The 16,962-nt window shown below is 43.0% G+C and overlaps 1 long non-coding RNA gene across 2 annotated transcripts; it reads left to right on the forward strand.

Moving 5' to 3' along the window:
* Window positions 1-999: 999 nt before the first annotated feature.
* Window positions 1,000-14,549, forward strand: LOC105379413 (uncharacterized). 2 transcript variants are annotated; one of them, XR_001755770.2, is made up of 3 exons: window positions 1,000-1,576; window positions 6,267-6,480; window positions 11,421-14,549. It is a non-coding gene; the product is annotated as an uncharacterized LOC105379413 (long non-coding RNA). The 2 variants fall into 2 exon arrangements; XR_001755773.2 differs by having other exon boundaries at window positions 6,267-6,429.
* The last annotated feature ends 2,413 nt before the right edge of the window (window positions 14,550-16,962 follow it).

A 16,962-nucleotide genomic window follows, 5' to 3' on the forward strand; every position in this document is an offset into this window, starting at 1 on the left:
CATGTAAAACTTCAAAGCTGTCAGTAACGCCTCACGCATGATCCTCTTCCATCAATCCCACCTCCAGTTACGGCCAGAGAAGACACAAGACCCCAGTTCAAAAAACTGTCTTTTTTGTGGAGCTCTTCTTTCTACTAAGACTTTAGTTGTGTATATCAATTGTGACTTCAATTACGTATAATGGATCTCTCCCGATTTGGGTGAGATTACAATTCCTGATGAGATTTGGGTGGGGACACAGAGCCAACCATATAATTGATATGAGCAGGGGGGCTGGTGAAAGGTGATTGGATGACGGGGGCAGAGTTCTCGTGAATGGTTTTCATGAATGGTTTCGCACCATTACCCCCTTGGTACTACAGTAACCGAGTTCTCATGAGATCTGGTTGTTTAAAACTGTGTAACACTTTTTCTGTCTTCTCTCTTCCTCCTGCTCTGGCTAGGTAAGACACTTGTTCTCACTTTGCCTTCTGCCATGTTTGTAAGTTTCCTGATGTCTCCTCTGAGCCTCCAGAAGGAACCAAGCCTACTGATACCTTGATCTCAGCTGTTGGCCTCCAGAAGTTCGAGAGAACAGACGTCTGCTGTTTCAAGCCACGCAGTTGTTGGTATTTTTCTACAACAGCATCTGAATCCTAATGCATGCCCTCTAACTGTGGGATCGATTTTGGGGTGCTGAGATGTGGCCTGTTTCTCCTATGACCTTCCTTGTGTTTTTAGTGCTCTTGGAAGAAGAGAGAATTAAGCATAGAATACCCACAGAGAGGAATCTCTCTTTCTTTTTTTTTTTCTTTGAGACAGAGTCTTGCTCTGTCACCAGGCTGGGAGTTCAGTGGCACGATCTCGGCTCACTGCAACATCCGTCTCTCAGATTCAAGCAATTCTCCTGTCTCAGCCTCCCAAGTAGCAGGGACTACAGGCGCATGCCACCACGGCCGGCTGATTTTTTTTTTTTTTTTTTTTTTTTGTATTTTTAGTAGACATGGGGTTTCACCATCTTGTCTAGGATGGTCTCGATCTCCTGACCTTGTGATCTGCCCACCTCAGACTCCCAAAGTGCTGGGATTGAGGAATCTTTCAACCCCTTGCTACCTTTCAAATTGCATAGGAACATTGAAAAGATGATAAAATGTGGAGGCTCAAAGAAAACAAGCAGTGTTCAGCATTCCGAAAGTGGCCTGGTTTGAGGAAATTAATTATTTGGCATCTCTGAACAAGTGGTGTTTTGGACTCCTAAACTTAAAGATAAATACATATTGTTTCCTACCCTTCATTCGTCTTCCTTCTCCTCGCCCGACCCAGAACTCCAAGAAGGCTAATCTCTTCTGCAATATCGTAATGGCCTTGAAGCAATCTAACATCTGTGTTCTTCCTTTCCTCATCTATGAAATTACTTTCAAATAACCAAATTAAACAGGATCTTCCATTTGGGCTGGAATGGTAAGAGCGGCAGAGGACAGCATGTTCCCATTTATAATAGCAGGCACGGAAATTCAACCAGACTTTGCTGATCTAAGAGATGCTCTTGGAAGACCCCATTACTTAAATGATCTAGAAAATGTCCTCCCGAGTCAAGGTATGTCTTAAGGAAGAAAAACGTACAAACAAAACCCAGAAAACTGTTTTAAGAGTCTTATTCTGATGAGACTCTATTTGTATTTGCCAAATAGCTGTGATTTTCTGGAATGCAGGACAAGCTGATAAATTAGGCAGGATGAAGACACTTTTTTTCTCAAGGGCAGGAACACAGATAAGAGCACCTAAGTGTAACACTTTGTTCTGGGACACAGCCCAACTCCAGTCCTTCTGTAGAATATCTGTATTCAGTCAGAGGATATCAAAGATGGATAGAGCCTTGGGAATTATCTAGCACAACCTTATCCATTTTACAGCTGGGGAAACCAGAGCTGGGAGGGCAACTTCCAAATTGGTAGTGATCCATCGTACACAATTGAAGTCATCATTGGTAGACACAACTGAGGTCCTAGTAGAAAGAACAGCCTCACAAGACAGTGATTTGAACTGGGGTCTTGTGCCTTCTTTGGCCATGACTGGAGGTGGGATTGGTGGAAGTGGGTGATGGGTGAGGCTTTACTGACCAATTTGAAATTTTGCATGTGTGTACGGAAAGGAGTTGACTCAACAGGCCTGGCGATATGGTTTGCATCTGTGTTCCCACCCAAATCTCATGTCAAATTGTAATCTCTAGTGTTGGAGGTAGAGGAGCTGGTGGGAGGTGATGGGATAAAGGGGGCAGAGTTCTCATGAATGGTGTAACGCCATCCCCCTTGCTACTGTATAGTGAGTGAATTCTCATGAGATTGGGTTGTTTAAAACTGTATGGCATCTTCTCTCTCTCCTCTCTTCCTCCTGTTCTGGCCATGTAAGACACCTGCTCCTGGCTGGGCATGGTGGCTGAAGCCTGTAATCCCAGCACTTTAGGAGGCTGAGGCAGGTGGATCGCAAGGTCAGGAGTTCAAGACCCACCTGGCCAACATGGTGAAACCCTGTATCTACTAAAAATACAAAAACTAGCTGGGCATGGTGGCAGGCACTTGTAATCCCAGCTACTTGGGAGGCTGAGGCAGGAGGATCACTTGAACCTGGGAGGCAGAGGTTGCAGTGAGCCGAGATCTCGCCACTGCATTCCAGCCTGGGCAACAGAGTGAGACTCCATCTCAAAAAAAAAAAAGACAAAAAAAAGAGATACATTTTCAACTTTCACCCCCCCACACCCCAACACTCTCCCCTTTGGACTCCCCAGTGTCTGTGAACTCCATCTCTTATGTTTATGGGTACCTATTATTTAGCTCCTACTTATAAGTAAGAACATACAGTATTTGATTTTCTTTTTCTGAGTTATTTATCTTAGGATAATGGCCTCCAGCTTCATCCACATCTCTTTGGAAGACATGATTTCATTCTTTTTAAGCCTGTGTAATATTCCATGGTGTATAAATACCACAGTTTTTTTTTTTAATCTAATTCTCCAATGGCAGATACCTAGACTGATTCCGTATCTTTGTTGCTGTGAATATACTGTGATAAACATATGACTATGGGTGTATTTTTGATGGGATGATTTCTTTCTTTCTTTTTCTTTCTTTCTTTCTTTCTTTCTTTCTTTCTTTCTTTCTTTCTTTCCTTTCTTTCCTTTCTTTCTTTCCTTTCTTTCTTTCCTTTCTTTCTTTCCTTTCTTTCCTTTCTTTCTTTCTTTCTTTCTTTCTTTCTTTCTTTCTTTCTTTCTTTCTTTCCTTTCTTTCTTTCTTTCTTTCTTTCTTTCTTTCTTTCTTTCTTTCTTTCTTTTCTTTTCTTTTCTTTCTTTCTTTCTTCTTTCGAGACAGAGTCTCATTCTGTCACCCAGGTGGAGTCCAGTGGTGTGATCTCGGCTCACTGCAATGTCCACCTCCTGGGTTCAAGCAATTCTCCTGCCTCAGCCTCCCAAGTAGCTGGGATTACGGGCACCTGCCACCACACTCAGTTAATTTTGTATTTTTAGTAGAGATGTGGTTTCACCATGTTGGCCAGGCTGGTCTCAAACTGCTAACCTCAGGTGATACATTGAAAGGATGATTTCTTACCCTTTGGGTTTATGCCCAGGAGTGGGATTCCTCGATCAAATCATAGTTTTATTTTTAGTCTTTTGAGAAATCTTCATACTGTTTTCCATTCAAGCTTTATTTACAGCCGTGGTTCCCAACCCTTTTGGTACCAGGGACCAGTTTTGTGGAAGATGATTTTTTCCATGGATGATGACCTGGAGATGGTTTTGGGATGATTTGAGTACATGACATTGATTGTGTTCTTCATTTCTATTATTATTATTACATTGTAATACAGAATGAAATAATTCTACAACTCACCATTGCATAGAATCAGTGGGAGCCCTGAGCTTGTTTTCCTGCAACTAGATGGTCCCATCCAGGCGTGATGGGAGACAGTAACAGATCATCACACATTAGATTTTCATAAGGAGCACGTAACCTAGATCCCTCACATGTGCGGTTCGCAATAGGGTTCACACTGCTATGAGACTCTAACGCCACTGCTGATCTGACAAGAGGTGGAGCTCAGGTGGTAACACAAGTGATGGGGAGCAGCCGTTAACACAGACGAAGAAGCCAGGTATGGTGGCTCATGCCCGTAATCCCAGCACTTTGTGAGGCCAAGGTGGGCGGATCACCTGAGGTCAGGAGTTCAAGACCAGCCTGGCCAACATGGTGAAACACTGTCTCTACTAAAAATACAAAAATTAGCTTGATGTGGGGTGTGACTACCTGTAATTCCAGCTACTCAGGAGGCTGAGGCAGGAGAATCGCTTGAACCCAGGCGGCGGAGGTTGCAGTGAGCTGAGATTGCACCACTGGACTCCAGCCTGGGTGACAGAATGAGACTCCATCTCAAAAAATAAAAAATAAAAAAATACAGATGAAGCTTTGCTACTCACCTGCTGCCCACCTCCTGCTCTGTGGCCCGGTTCCTAACAGGCTATGGACCAGTGGTGGTCTGTGCCCTGGGGATTCAGGACCCCTGAGTTACAGCACCAATTTACAATATCCCTTTTTCTGGGGTCAGACGTTGAATGCATACCTAGCTTAGCTCCGTACCTGGTGCTATGCCCCGAATGCTTATTGATCTTGTTTTCTGGGTATTGTGGATGAGTGAAGATCCATGCACTGATGTTGGGTTGTTTCATTGTGGTCACTTCTCATAGCCCCCATCACACTGCAGCCTTCTCTGTGTCTCTGCATCCACATAGTTGGAGCTAGCCATCTCACTCAGGGCTTTCTTGGAAGCATAGGGAGTTGCTCCATGCTGCAGAACGGATTCCATCTGTGCAGTGAGAGAACAGGAATTGATAGATAAATGTTCCAGCCTTTCCATCCTTCAGAGGGTCCTCAGCAGGATACAGACCCCCTTGCCCATGGCAGTAACAAGTGCCATAGCAACCCCAGCTGTTGGATCTTCCCCATATGGCAGCACTCCTCTCACCATCTCTTATTTTTGCTTTATGCAATCACCTTTTTTTTTTTTTTTTTTTTTTTTTTTGAGACGGAGTCTCGCTCTGTCCCCTAGGCTGGAGTGCAGTGGAGCGATCTCGGCTCACTGCAAACTCCACCTCCCGGGTTCGCGCCATTCTCCTGCCTCAGCCTCCCAAGTCGCTGGCACTGCGGGCACACACCACAACACCTGGCTAAGTTTTTTTGTTGTTGTTTTTGTTGTATTTTTAGTAGAGATGGATTTCAACATGTTAGCCAGGATAGTCTCGATCTCCTGACCTCATGATCTGCCCGCCTCGGCCTCCCAAAATGCTGGGATTACAGGCATGAGCCACCATGCCAGGCTGCAATCACCTTTTAAATAATCTATCAGTATCCAGATACTGCTTTTCTTTTCTCTTTTCTTTTTTTTGAGATGGAGTTTTGCTCTTGTTGCCTAGGCTAGAGTGCGATGGCGTGATCTTGGCTCACTGCAACCTCCGCCTCCCGGGTTTAAGCGATTCTTCTGCCTCAACCTCCTGAGCAGCTGGGATTACAGGTGCCCGCCACCAGGCCCGCCTAATTTTTTTGTATTTTTAGTAGAGACTGGGTTTCACTGTGTTAGCCAGGATGGTCTTGATCTCGTGACCTCGTGATCTGCCCACCTCGGCCTCTCAAAGTGCTGGGATTACAGGCATGAGCCATTGTGCCCTGCTGCAATCACGTTTTAAATAGTCTATCAGTACCCAGATACTGCTTTTCTTTTCTTTTTCTTTTTTTTTTTTGAGATGATGGAGTTTCACTCTTGTTGCCCACGCTGGAGTGCAATGGTGTGATCTTGGCTCACTGCAACCTCTGCCTCACGGGTTTAAGCGCTTCTCCTGCCTCAACCTCCTGAGTAGCTGGGATTACAGGCGCCTGCCACCACTCCCGCCTAATTTTTTTTTTTTTTTTTTTGTATTTTTAGTAGAGACGGGGTTTCACCATGTTGGCCCAGCCGGTCTCAAACTCCTGACCTCAGGTGATCTGCCTGCCTCCGCCTCCCAAAGTGCTGGAATTACAGGTGTGAGCCACTGCACCCAGCCAGATGTTGGTTTTCATCTCTACTTTTGAGGAATGCTGATCTAGTACATGTAGGGAAGACTCATGTATTGTCACAACAACCATGAAAGCAAAGGACAGAATCTGGGTGTCAGGGAGTGACATGGGTAGAATTGTGTGCCCTACAACATTAGGTTCAAGTTCTGACGCCAGGTACCTGTTAACGTGACCTTCTTTGGAAATCAGGTCTCTGCAAATGTAATGAGTCCAGACACCAAGGGAAACGGAGAAGATAAGAAGCAGAGATTGAGGTAATGCGTCCACCAGCCAAGGAGCACCAAGACGTGCTGGCGACCACCAGATGCTAGCGGGGAGACCTGGAACAGATTCTCCCTCAAAGCCTCCAGAAGTAAACCAACTCTGTAGACACCTTCATTTCAGACTTCTGGTCTCCAGAGCTGTGAGAGAATCCATTTCTGTTCATTGCAGCCACTTTTTTCTTTTCTTCCTTCTTTCTTTTCTTTTTTCTTTCTTTCTTTCTTCCTTCCTTCCTTCCTTTCTCTCTCTTTCTCTCTTTCTTCTTTTCCTTCCTTTGCTTCCTTTCCTTCCTTTCCTTGTTTCTTCTCTCTTTCTGAGATGGAGTTTTGCTCTGTCACCCAGGCTGGAGTGCAGTGGCGCAATCTCGGTTCACTGTGACCTCTGCCTCCTGGGTTCAAGTGATTCTCCTGCCTCAGCTTCCTGAGTAGCTGGGATTACAGGCACAAGCCACCATGCCCGGATAATTTTTTATATTTTTGGTATAGACGAGGTTTCACCATGTTGGCCAATCTTGTTTCAAACTCTTGACCTCAAGTCATCCAGCCACCTTGGCCTCCCAAATTCTGAGATAACAGGTGTGAGCCACTGTGTCTTGCCTGAGCCATTTCTTCAGCAGTGATTTTTTTTTTTCATGGCTGCCCTAGCTAAGGAATACCATTACAATGAAAGCTGAGCTGCTTAAGCTACAATTTTTTTTATTACTTATTTATTTACTTTTGTTTCAGTCATTTTTGGAGAACAGGTGGTTTTAGGTTACATGGATAATTTCTTTAGCAGTGATTTTTGAGATTTTCATGCACCCATCACTCAAGGAATGTACACTGTACTCAATGTGTAGTCTTTTATCCCTCACTCCCCTCCTACCCTTTCCCCCGAGTCCTCAAAGTCCATTGTATAATTCTTATGCCTTTGCATCCTCGTAGCTTAGCTCGCACTTATGACTGAGAACGTTTGATATTTAGTTTTCTTATACCCAAGTTACTTCACTTGGAATAATGGCCTCCACTTCCATCCATGTTACTGCAAAATACATTATTTTGCTCCATTTTATGGGTGAGTAGTATTCCGTGGTGTATATACACCACACTTTCTTTATCCACTCCTTGGTTGATGGGGATTTAGGCTGGTGTCATATTTTTGCAATCGCGAATTGTGCTGCTATCAGTTACCACTAAAGAACTCATCCATGTAACCTAAAACCACCTGTCCTCCAAAAACTACTGAAACAAAAGTCAGTCAATCAATAAATAATAATAAAAGGCAAGTGCCTTTTTTCATATAATGACTTCTTTTCCACTGTGTAGATACTCAGTTCTGAGATTGCTGGATGAAATTGTTGATCTACTTTTAGTTCTTCAAGGAACCTCCATACCTGGATCAAATGGTAGTTCTATTATTAGTTCTTCAAGGAGTCTCCATACCTGGATCAAATGGTAGTTCTAGTATTAGTTCTTTAAGGAGTCTCCATACCTGAATCCAATGGTAGTTCTACTATTAGTTCTTTAAGGAGTCTCCATACCTGGATCAAATGGTAGTTCTATTATTAGTTCTTTCAGGAATCTCCATACCTGGATCAAATGGTAGTTCTAGTTTTAGTTCTTCAAGGAGTCTCCATACCTGGATCAAATGGTGGTTCTATTATTAATTCTTCAAGGAATCTCCATACCTGGATCAAATGGTGGTTCTATTATTAGTTCTTTAAGGAGTCTCCATACCGGGAACAAATGGTAGTTCTAGTATTAGTTCTTTAAGGAATCTCCGCAGTGGTTTCCATAGTGGTTAAACTAGTTTACATTCCCACCAGCAGTGTAAAAGTGTTCCCTTTTCACCACATCCACACCAACATCTGTTATTCTTTGATTTTTGAATTATGGCCATTCTTGCAGGAGTAAGATGGTATCTCACTGTGGTTTTAATTTTCATTTCCCTGATCATTAGTGATGTTGAGCATTTTTTCATATGCTCATTGGACATTCATATATCTACTTTTGAGAATTGTCTATTCATGCCCTTTGCCTATGTTTTGATGGGATTGTTTGTTTTTTTTTCCTGCTGATTTGTTTGAGTTCCTTGTAGATTCTGGATGTTAGTCCTTCGTCGGATTCATAGTTGGGCAAATTTTTCTCCCATTCTGTGAGTTGTGTGTTTACTCTGTTGATTCTTTGTTTTGCTGTACAGAATAAGCTACAATTTTAAGGAAGAGGATTTGTGGCAACTTACGTAGCTCAGTAAAGAGAGTGAGTAGGACCTCAAAGCATTCTTTAAAGGAGAGAGAGGACATGATCCAACTTAGACAAAGAGAATGTTCTGGCCACAGAGGCAATTTGGCCAGAAACTAGATAACAGGATGTCAAACTAGATAACAAGGAAGTCTACCTTAATTCAATGGCACAAGAGCTTGAAATCATCAAAGAGTCTTTCTGAATACTACGCTAAAGCAATTGCTTTTAATGAATATATTCAGACTTGCCAAGGCTGAGACCTCAAATACTATCTTGAGGTCTTTAACAGCTATCTGATGCTGTCAATGATTTTGTATATAAAAAGACCTTGGAACAGGAGGTTGCCATTTAGTGAACAGGGTTGGCAGTATACCTTCCCGCCTGCTTTGCATAGTGACTCATTGTCTACTCAACGAGGATTCTTAATAATCATGTCATTGGTGACACATAGGCAGTCAGTGGATTTTTTTTTTTAATGACAAGTGGAAAAATGTTAAAAGCCAGCTTTGATTAAAATGTGAGTTAAGCTGGAAAGCTCAGTGAAATCCATCCATGGCTGTATATTAAGAACTGTAACCTGCCACTGTGTGTAACACCCGTTATATAAACTCATGTAAAGATTTCAGTCACGCCGCCGGACGTGGAGACTCATGCCTGTAATCCCAGCACGTTGGGAGGCTGAAGCGGGTCGATCACCTGAGGTCAGGAGTTTGAGAACAGCCTGACTAACATGGTGAAACTCTGTCTCTAACAAATACAAAAAATCAGCTGGGTGTGGTGGCTTATGCCTGTCATCCCAGCTACTTGGGAGGCTGAGGCAGGAGAATCGCTTGAATCCGGGAGGCGGAGGTTGCAGTGAGCTGAGATTCTGCCATGGCACTCCAGCCTGGGCAACAAGAGCAAAACTCCTTCTCAAAAAAACAAAAAATGAATTTCAGCCACGCAATACATTTGGGTAACTACCAAGTATGTCTCCGCTGGCAATCCTTGAGAATCAATAGAAGTTATTCCAAAATATAAGCTGGTATAGTGATAAACCTGGTGAAAAGCACCGTGTTTTATAATGCAATGTCTAAGCCCACAGTGGCGCCTGTGTCATGGATGGAAACAATTTCCAAGTATGGCAGTGTGGGCTGCAGCTGTTCCACAGAAGATCGTAAAGTATATGGAATGGTAAATGCATGGCACGTTTTGTAAAATAATTAAATGAAGCCCAATGCTGCCATCCCTCAGGTCATATTTACATAGATGATTGAGCTGTCTGATTCACTGAGGGTTCTCTCTGTGTGTCTCTTTGGTGAAGCAATTTATTCTGCTTTTACAGATTAGAGTAGATATTTTCTAAGTGACGAAATACAATTCTTCCAGTGGCACAATATAAAATCGTATTAAAGAGCATTAAAGCATATAAGCTAACAGCATGCATACTTATCTACAAACTGGTTTCTAAAAATGGAGAAGCATTTTTTGCTTTCAGATGGAGATTGTGTACTCAGATCTCGAATTCTGTTTCCTTAAAAAATGGTTTAATGAACCCTAATGCATCTACCACTCAGGTTTTAACGATTACAAACAGTTATCAATGTGTTTTATTTTTCCATTTTAATTTTTTTGGCCACGGTATTTGAAAGAAAATCTTAGACATCATTATCATTCTGCCTTTCAATTCTACAGAACTTTTTTTTTTTTTTCCTCATCAGGCCTTTTTGTTCTTCGACAGAGTCTCACTCTGTCGTCCAGGCTGGAGTGCAGTGGCGTGATCTCGGCTCACTGCAACCTCTGCCTCCTGGGTTCAAGCAATTCTCCTGCCTCAGCCTCCCAAGTATCTGGGATTACAGGTGCCCGCAACTATGCCCGGCTGACTTTTTTGTATTTTTAGTAGACACTGAGTTTCACCATGTTGGCCAGGCTGGTCTCAAACTCTCGACCTTGTGATTCACCCGCCTTGGCCTCCCAAAGTGCAGGGATTACAGGTGTCAGCCACTGCGCCCGGCCCAACAATACTTTTATCTACTCATCAGTATGTGTTCAAATTTCCCTCAGTCTTAGAAATGACTTTCTGTGGTTGGTTTCTTTAAATAAAAATGGAAAGAAACTCCACACACTTTAGATGGCTGATTTGTCTCATAAAAGTTTTTTGATTTGTAATAATTCACCATCTTCCCTTTATTTTGTCCTGATTATATAGTCCATATCCCTTGTGACTTTCACCATAGAAGGACTTTATCCCTGTCTTCAAAAGCCATAAAAATAGTCCCCGTTGCTAACTAACAACATTGATGCTTTTGTGACCTAGGAAAGCTTCTAAGTGTAGCTTTGATCTCCTTTGTTGAGACAGAAATGGGCTGAACAGGGACCACCCCTGAGCCAAATTCTCCAGCAAGTCACTCCTGGGCCCCTTCTCTTTCTTTTCTTTTCTTTCTTTTTTTTTTTTTTTTGACGGAGTTTTGCTCTGTTGTCCAGGCTGGAGTACAGCGGTGCAATCTCAGCTCACTGCAATGTCTGCCTCCTGGGTTGAAGCAATTCTCCTGCCTCAGCCTCCCGAGTAGCTGGGATTACAGGTGTGCACCATCATGCCCGGCTAATTTTTGTATTTTTAGTAGGGACGGGATTTCACCATGTTGGCCAGGCTGGAAGGAAGGAGAAAGAGAGAGAGAAAGAAAGAGAAAGAGAGAGAGAAAGAGAGAAAGAGACAAAGAAAAAGAAAAAAAGAGAAAGAGAAAGGAAGAAAGAGAAAGAAAGATGAAAGAAAGAGAGAAAGAAACGAGGGAGGGAGGGAGGAAGGAAGGAAAAAGCAAAGCAAAGTTGAGTGACTACAGTTTCTGTACATTGGACCAATTTGGCACATTTCTTTATATAGGACAATCCATGTCCATTTACCTGTGTTCTGTGAGACAGATGAAGCCTGGACTTCTGCTATCCTGCCCTTGCTGGGAATGAGCAGGGTTGTACCTGCACTCATCATGGAATAAGCACTAAAGAAACAAAGCTACAACAGAAGATGTCCTCTACTGCAGGGCACCTTACATTCCAATCCTCCAATATGGCAGCGAGTCAAAATCTCAAAAGACCTGAGTGCCTTCTGCGTAAGTCCCCGTAGGCTTCTAGTATTCATTTTACAAGTATACTGATGCTCTCAGTTGATGCTGAGGGGGTGGCTGTTCATGAAGATGATGGAATTGGCTTCGGCAGAGGTCTCTCTTTGACCATCTAGAGGCACTGTTGCTTATCTATCAGGAAACGGAGGGAGGCACTGGGAATTTGAACTCGAGCTCTGGAGTTCTTCCATGCAGCTGTGTTTACGTATCATCAAGCACCGATTCATTGCCCGTTGGGACAGAGGAGAATCAGGCCTGGTCTGGCATCATTGCCGGGTGGGTGTGAAATGCCACTTCTACCGAGACCAACTGGAAATGAAAGATCGTCAACAGTCAAAAAGGTCACTGCATAAATGCCTGTGAAGTCCAAGTAACTGTCAGAGACAGAATACGCTTTGCAGCGGAGAGTTTTCCAGGAAAGAAAAATGGTCTCTGTGAATGTTCTTTGGGAGGCCACGGATGGCTTGTTCTGAAGTGAATGGAATTGCTTTGCAGAAGACGCATAGCCAGGCTGAGTTCAGGAGGTATCTCTTTTTTTTTTTTTTTTTTTTTTTGAGACGGAGTCTCGCTCTGTTGCCCAGGCTGGAGTGCAGTGGCACAATCTCAGCTCACTGCAACCTCTGCTTCCCGGGTTCAAGCAATTCTCCTGTCTCCACCTCCCGAGTAGCTGGCATTACAGGCACTGCCACCAAGCCTGGCTAATTTTTGTATTTTTAGTAGAGATGGAGTTTCACGATGTTGGCCAGGCTAGTCTCGAACTCCTGACCTCAAGTGATCCACCCACCTCAGCCTCTCAAAGTGCTGGGATAACAGACGTGAGCCACTGCACCCGGCCCAGGAGGTGTCTTAATCCATTTGCTGTTGCTACAACAGAGTAACACCGTCTGGGTAATTCACAGAAGAAGTTTATTTTGTAAAGTCCTGGAGGCTGGCAAGTCCAAAAGGCATGGTGCCTGCATCTGATGAGAGCCTCTTGCTATAGTACAACATAGTGGAGGACTTATAATGCCACCAGCTCTGTCCATGTGGGCCTCGCTTTGATGATCTTACCTAATTCTAATTGTCTCCTAAGGGTGCCACTCCAAATACTACAACATACTAATTTGAGAGAGAAGTTTCCAACACATGAAGCTTGGGAGACACAAACCATACAGGGTGGAGTCAAGACGGCTTGTTTAATTCGGCCAACTTGAGCAAAGAGGCATAATGGTTATTGCCTCTCTGGGTTCACTAAACACATAAACATGCCCACACTAATAATTCATGTCGACCGCAGTACTCTCTGCTTTTCCTGAATAGCATATTGTGTTGAACAGGTTATACGACCTTGGGTAGAGACTTAGCTCTCTTTAAGCCTCCATTTCTCATCTGTAAAATGAGAATGAAAGATGGTTTCTCCGTATTTATGGAAGGGTTCCAACAAGGTAAAGTGTGTAGCGTACTTTGTCAATTCTAAAGCACTCTTCTGATATAAATTATAGCATCCCCGGATTCATTGTTTGAGTTGGTTTCTTTTTTAAAATTAATTTCTGTTGTATGTATTTAAGGTGTGCAACATGATTTTTTGATATAGTGACATAGTGAAATGATTATAATTGTTAAGAAAATGAACACAGCTATCATCTCACATATTTACCTTTTTTGCGACAAGAGCACCTTAAATCTACTCTCTTAACAAAAATCCTAAATATGAAATGTATTATAGTCCTTATATTTTGCATTTGATTTCTAGACTTATTCTACATCATCTATAACAACCACCATTTTTTCTATTTCTATATATTTTCTTTCTTCCTTCCTTCCTTCTTTCCTTTCTTCCTTTTTTCTGATAAGGAGTCTCGCTCTTTCGCCCAGGCTGGAGTGCAGTGGCGTGATCTTGGCTCACTGCAAGCTCCGCCTCCCGGGTTCACGCCATTCTCCTGCCTCAGCCTCCTGAGTAGCTGGGACTGCAGGCACCCACCACCATGCCCAGCTAATTTTTTGTATTTTGTATTTGCCTTCCTTTCTTTTTCATTTCCTTCTTTCTGCCTTCTTTTCATTCTTTTATTTTTGTAGATTCTTTATATAAGTGAGATCCAATACTTTTAACTGAATGTGAACATTTCTTTTACAAAATAAAATGTATGTTCAGGCTTTTACTTAATCCATGCTAGTAAGAGCCTGGTTCAAAAATGAGCTGCAGGTTTTTTCAAAGAGAATCACAATCATTTCTGTGGAATAGGTGAAGTGAAAGACATTTTTAGAAAGTTTGCATCTTTTTGCAGAGACTTTTAATGAAGGGGTTTATGTTTTCCGCTCTGTTCGTTTACTGAAAGCAAAAGAAGAAAAGTGAGGAAGGGATTATACAAAGAAAGTGACTGAAAAATTCTGAAAATATCTGTTTTCATAAGATAAGAGCTTTATTCTAGTTCTGAACATATAATCATAGTCATCATTGTCCTTATTTAAATAAAAACAGCTAGCTGGGCAACTTAGTCTCATTGAAATTCCTGAGATCTTCATTCTTTCTTGGTATTTGGCTGAAAAAAGAATAAGTTTATCTCATTCTTTTCCCAAAGTATAGCACAAGGTTGAGAGCCTGGACTCGTGGCATGCATACCTAATGAGACCGTTGTATTACTTGGGGTGAAACTCCTTCCATTTGACTTGATGTAGTTATTTTCTTTTTCTTGCAAGGGAAGCAAACTTTGGGTTCTACCTGGGTCTTCCTTAAGCATCAGGTGTGTTTCAAATGGATAGATTTAATAATAATTGATCCACTAATAATTGATCCACTGGGCAATGATTTTTTAAATGTTTGTTTTCAAATTTAAAACAATGCCTCAAGTTTAGAAATGCCTCTCCTCGGCCGGGCGCGGTGGCTCATGCCTGTAATCCCAGCACTTTGGGAGGCCGAGGCGGGTAGATCACCTGAGGTCAGGAGTTTGAGAACAGCCTGGCCAACATGGTGAATCCCCATCTCTACTAAATATAAAAAATTAGCTGGGTGTGGTGGCACATGCCTGTAGTCCCAGCTACTGGGGAGGCTGAGGCAGGAGAATCACTTGAACCTGAGATGTGGAGGTTGCAGTGAGCTGAGATTGTGCCATTGCACTCCAGCCTGGGTGACAAAACGGAAAACTCCATCTCAAAAAAAAAAATGCCTCTCCTCTTCTAATTACCTCCCATCCCTCTCCCACTTCAAAGATCCTCATTCTGATTTTTCAAGGCTGAGTTCTGGGTTGGCAGGACAGTCTTGAATGAGGATCTGAATGTAGGAGTATTCCTGCAATTAGTCTTCGTTGCCACTAGGAGGTGGTGTGTAGCGGGGTGTCCTTTTGAGTTGACTTGCCAAGAAGACCAGGTGTAGGGTTAAGCATGATTTTCCAAATGGAAGCTTCAGGAAAGCTTCAAAAGATACCTTATGCACTGTAATGCACAGCATTTGATATTAAAACAATACATAGCATCTTAAACAATACATAGCAAGTGAAGTTTCTCTCAGGCTTCCCTCACAAAGAGCAAGCCTTGCTTATGGTGTCCTTGTTCTGTCCTATACCTTATCTCAGGCACTGTGAGCTGGGAATTAAAATTTTCTTTCCTTTTTTTTTTTGAGACAGAGTCTCGCTCTGCTGCCCAGGGTGGAGTGCAATGATGCAAACTTGGCTCACTGCAACCTTTGCCTCCTGGGTTCAAGCAATCATCCTGCCTCAGCCTCCTAAGTAGCTGGGATTACAGGCGCCCGTCACCACACCATGCTCATTTTGTATTTTAGTAGAGATGTTGGTTTCACCATGTTGGTCTGGCTGGTCTCAAACTCCTGATCTCAGGTGATCCACCTACCTCCACCTCCCAAAGTGCTGGGATTACAGGTGTGAGCCACCACACCCAGCTATCTTTACATTTTAATTATGGCAAAATACATATAACATAACATTTACTACTAGTGACATTCAGAACATTCCCCATGCTGTATAGCCATTACCTCCATCTCCTTCCAGAACATTCAACATTCCCCATGCTGTATAGCCATTACCTCCATCTCCTTCCAGAACATTCTAATCACCCTAAATGGAGACCTTGTACCTATTAAGCCCTCACTCCTCCTTTTCCCAACCCATGCAAACCCCTAATCTACTTTCTATCTCTAGGGATTCATTCCTTCTAGACATTTCACATAAATGGAATAACCCAAGGTGTGGCTTATTTATATCTGGCTTCATTTACTGAACATAATGTTCTCAAAGTACACTCACATAGCAGCGTGTGTCAGGATTTCATTGTGTTTGATGGCTGTTTCATATTCCACCATATGGATAGACGCCATTTTGTTTCTCCATTCACCTATGGGTGAACATTTGGGTTGTATTTACCCGTTGGTGATTGGGAAGAATGCTGCTATGAATAATTGGATACGTATTTTTGTTTGAACATTTGTGCTATGCTCTGAAGGTTTCTGTGTCCCCAAAGTTCATATGAGGAAAGCTAATACTCAAGGTGATAGTATTAAGAGGTGGAACCCTTGGAAAGTGATGAGGTCAAGAGAATGGAAGCTCCATGGATGGGATGAGTGCTCTTATCAAAAGAACCCCAGAGAGCTCCTTTTTTTCCTTCTACCATGCAAGGACACAGCAAGAAGGTGCCATCTACGAACCAGGAACTGGGTTCTTACCAGACACTGAATCTTCTATGTCTTGATTTTGGACATCCAACTTCCAGAACTGTGAGCAATAAACATCTGGTGTTCAAAAGCCACCCAGTCTAAAGTATTTTGTTACAGCAACATACAAAAAGACAGTGGCCCCCAAAATCTCCTCTCATCACAAGGAGCCCCCTTCACTTCACCCACAAAGGAGGCAAGATTTGAGGTCATCAGGCTCCCAACCAAGGGACTGGGTGTTCTGATCTATGTTTTAACTTTTCAATCAAGTACATCACTTCCAGCTGGGACTCTGGGTCTAGCACAGGGAGAAATAAAGTGTGAACCATCATTACAAGCTCAGGGAGGGAGGGAGAAAGTGCAAATCGAAGAGCTGGAAAATCATCGAGCCAGCCCAACTGTTGGGAGATTGGGGATTCTTTGTGCACGGAGCAGAAACAATCTCCTGCACGGGGTGGCGGCTTGGGCCAGGACTTCTCGGCATTGAGGAGTTACAGAGCTGTTTTGTAGCTAAACCGACTTTCATTCCAAGCACTTCTACAGAGAACGAAATCAAACAGCGGTGATGATGGGATCCCCAGGCCCGGCCAGTGATCTGCTTAATTACTGACCAGGGAAGCTTCAGTAGCTTAATTGGATTGATGGGCACAGTGCCTAGTCCTCCA

This window comes from Homo sapiens, chromosome X (assembly GCF_000001405.40).
Source record: "Homo sapiens chromosome X, GRCh38.p14 Primary Assembly".
In the NCBI taxonomy this organism is placed as follows: Eukaryota; Metazoa; Chordata; class Mammalia; order Primates; family Hominidae; genus Homo; species Homo sapiens.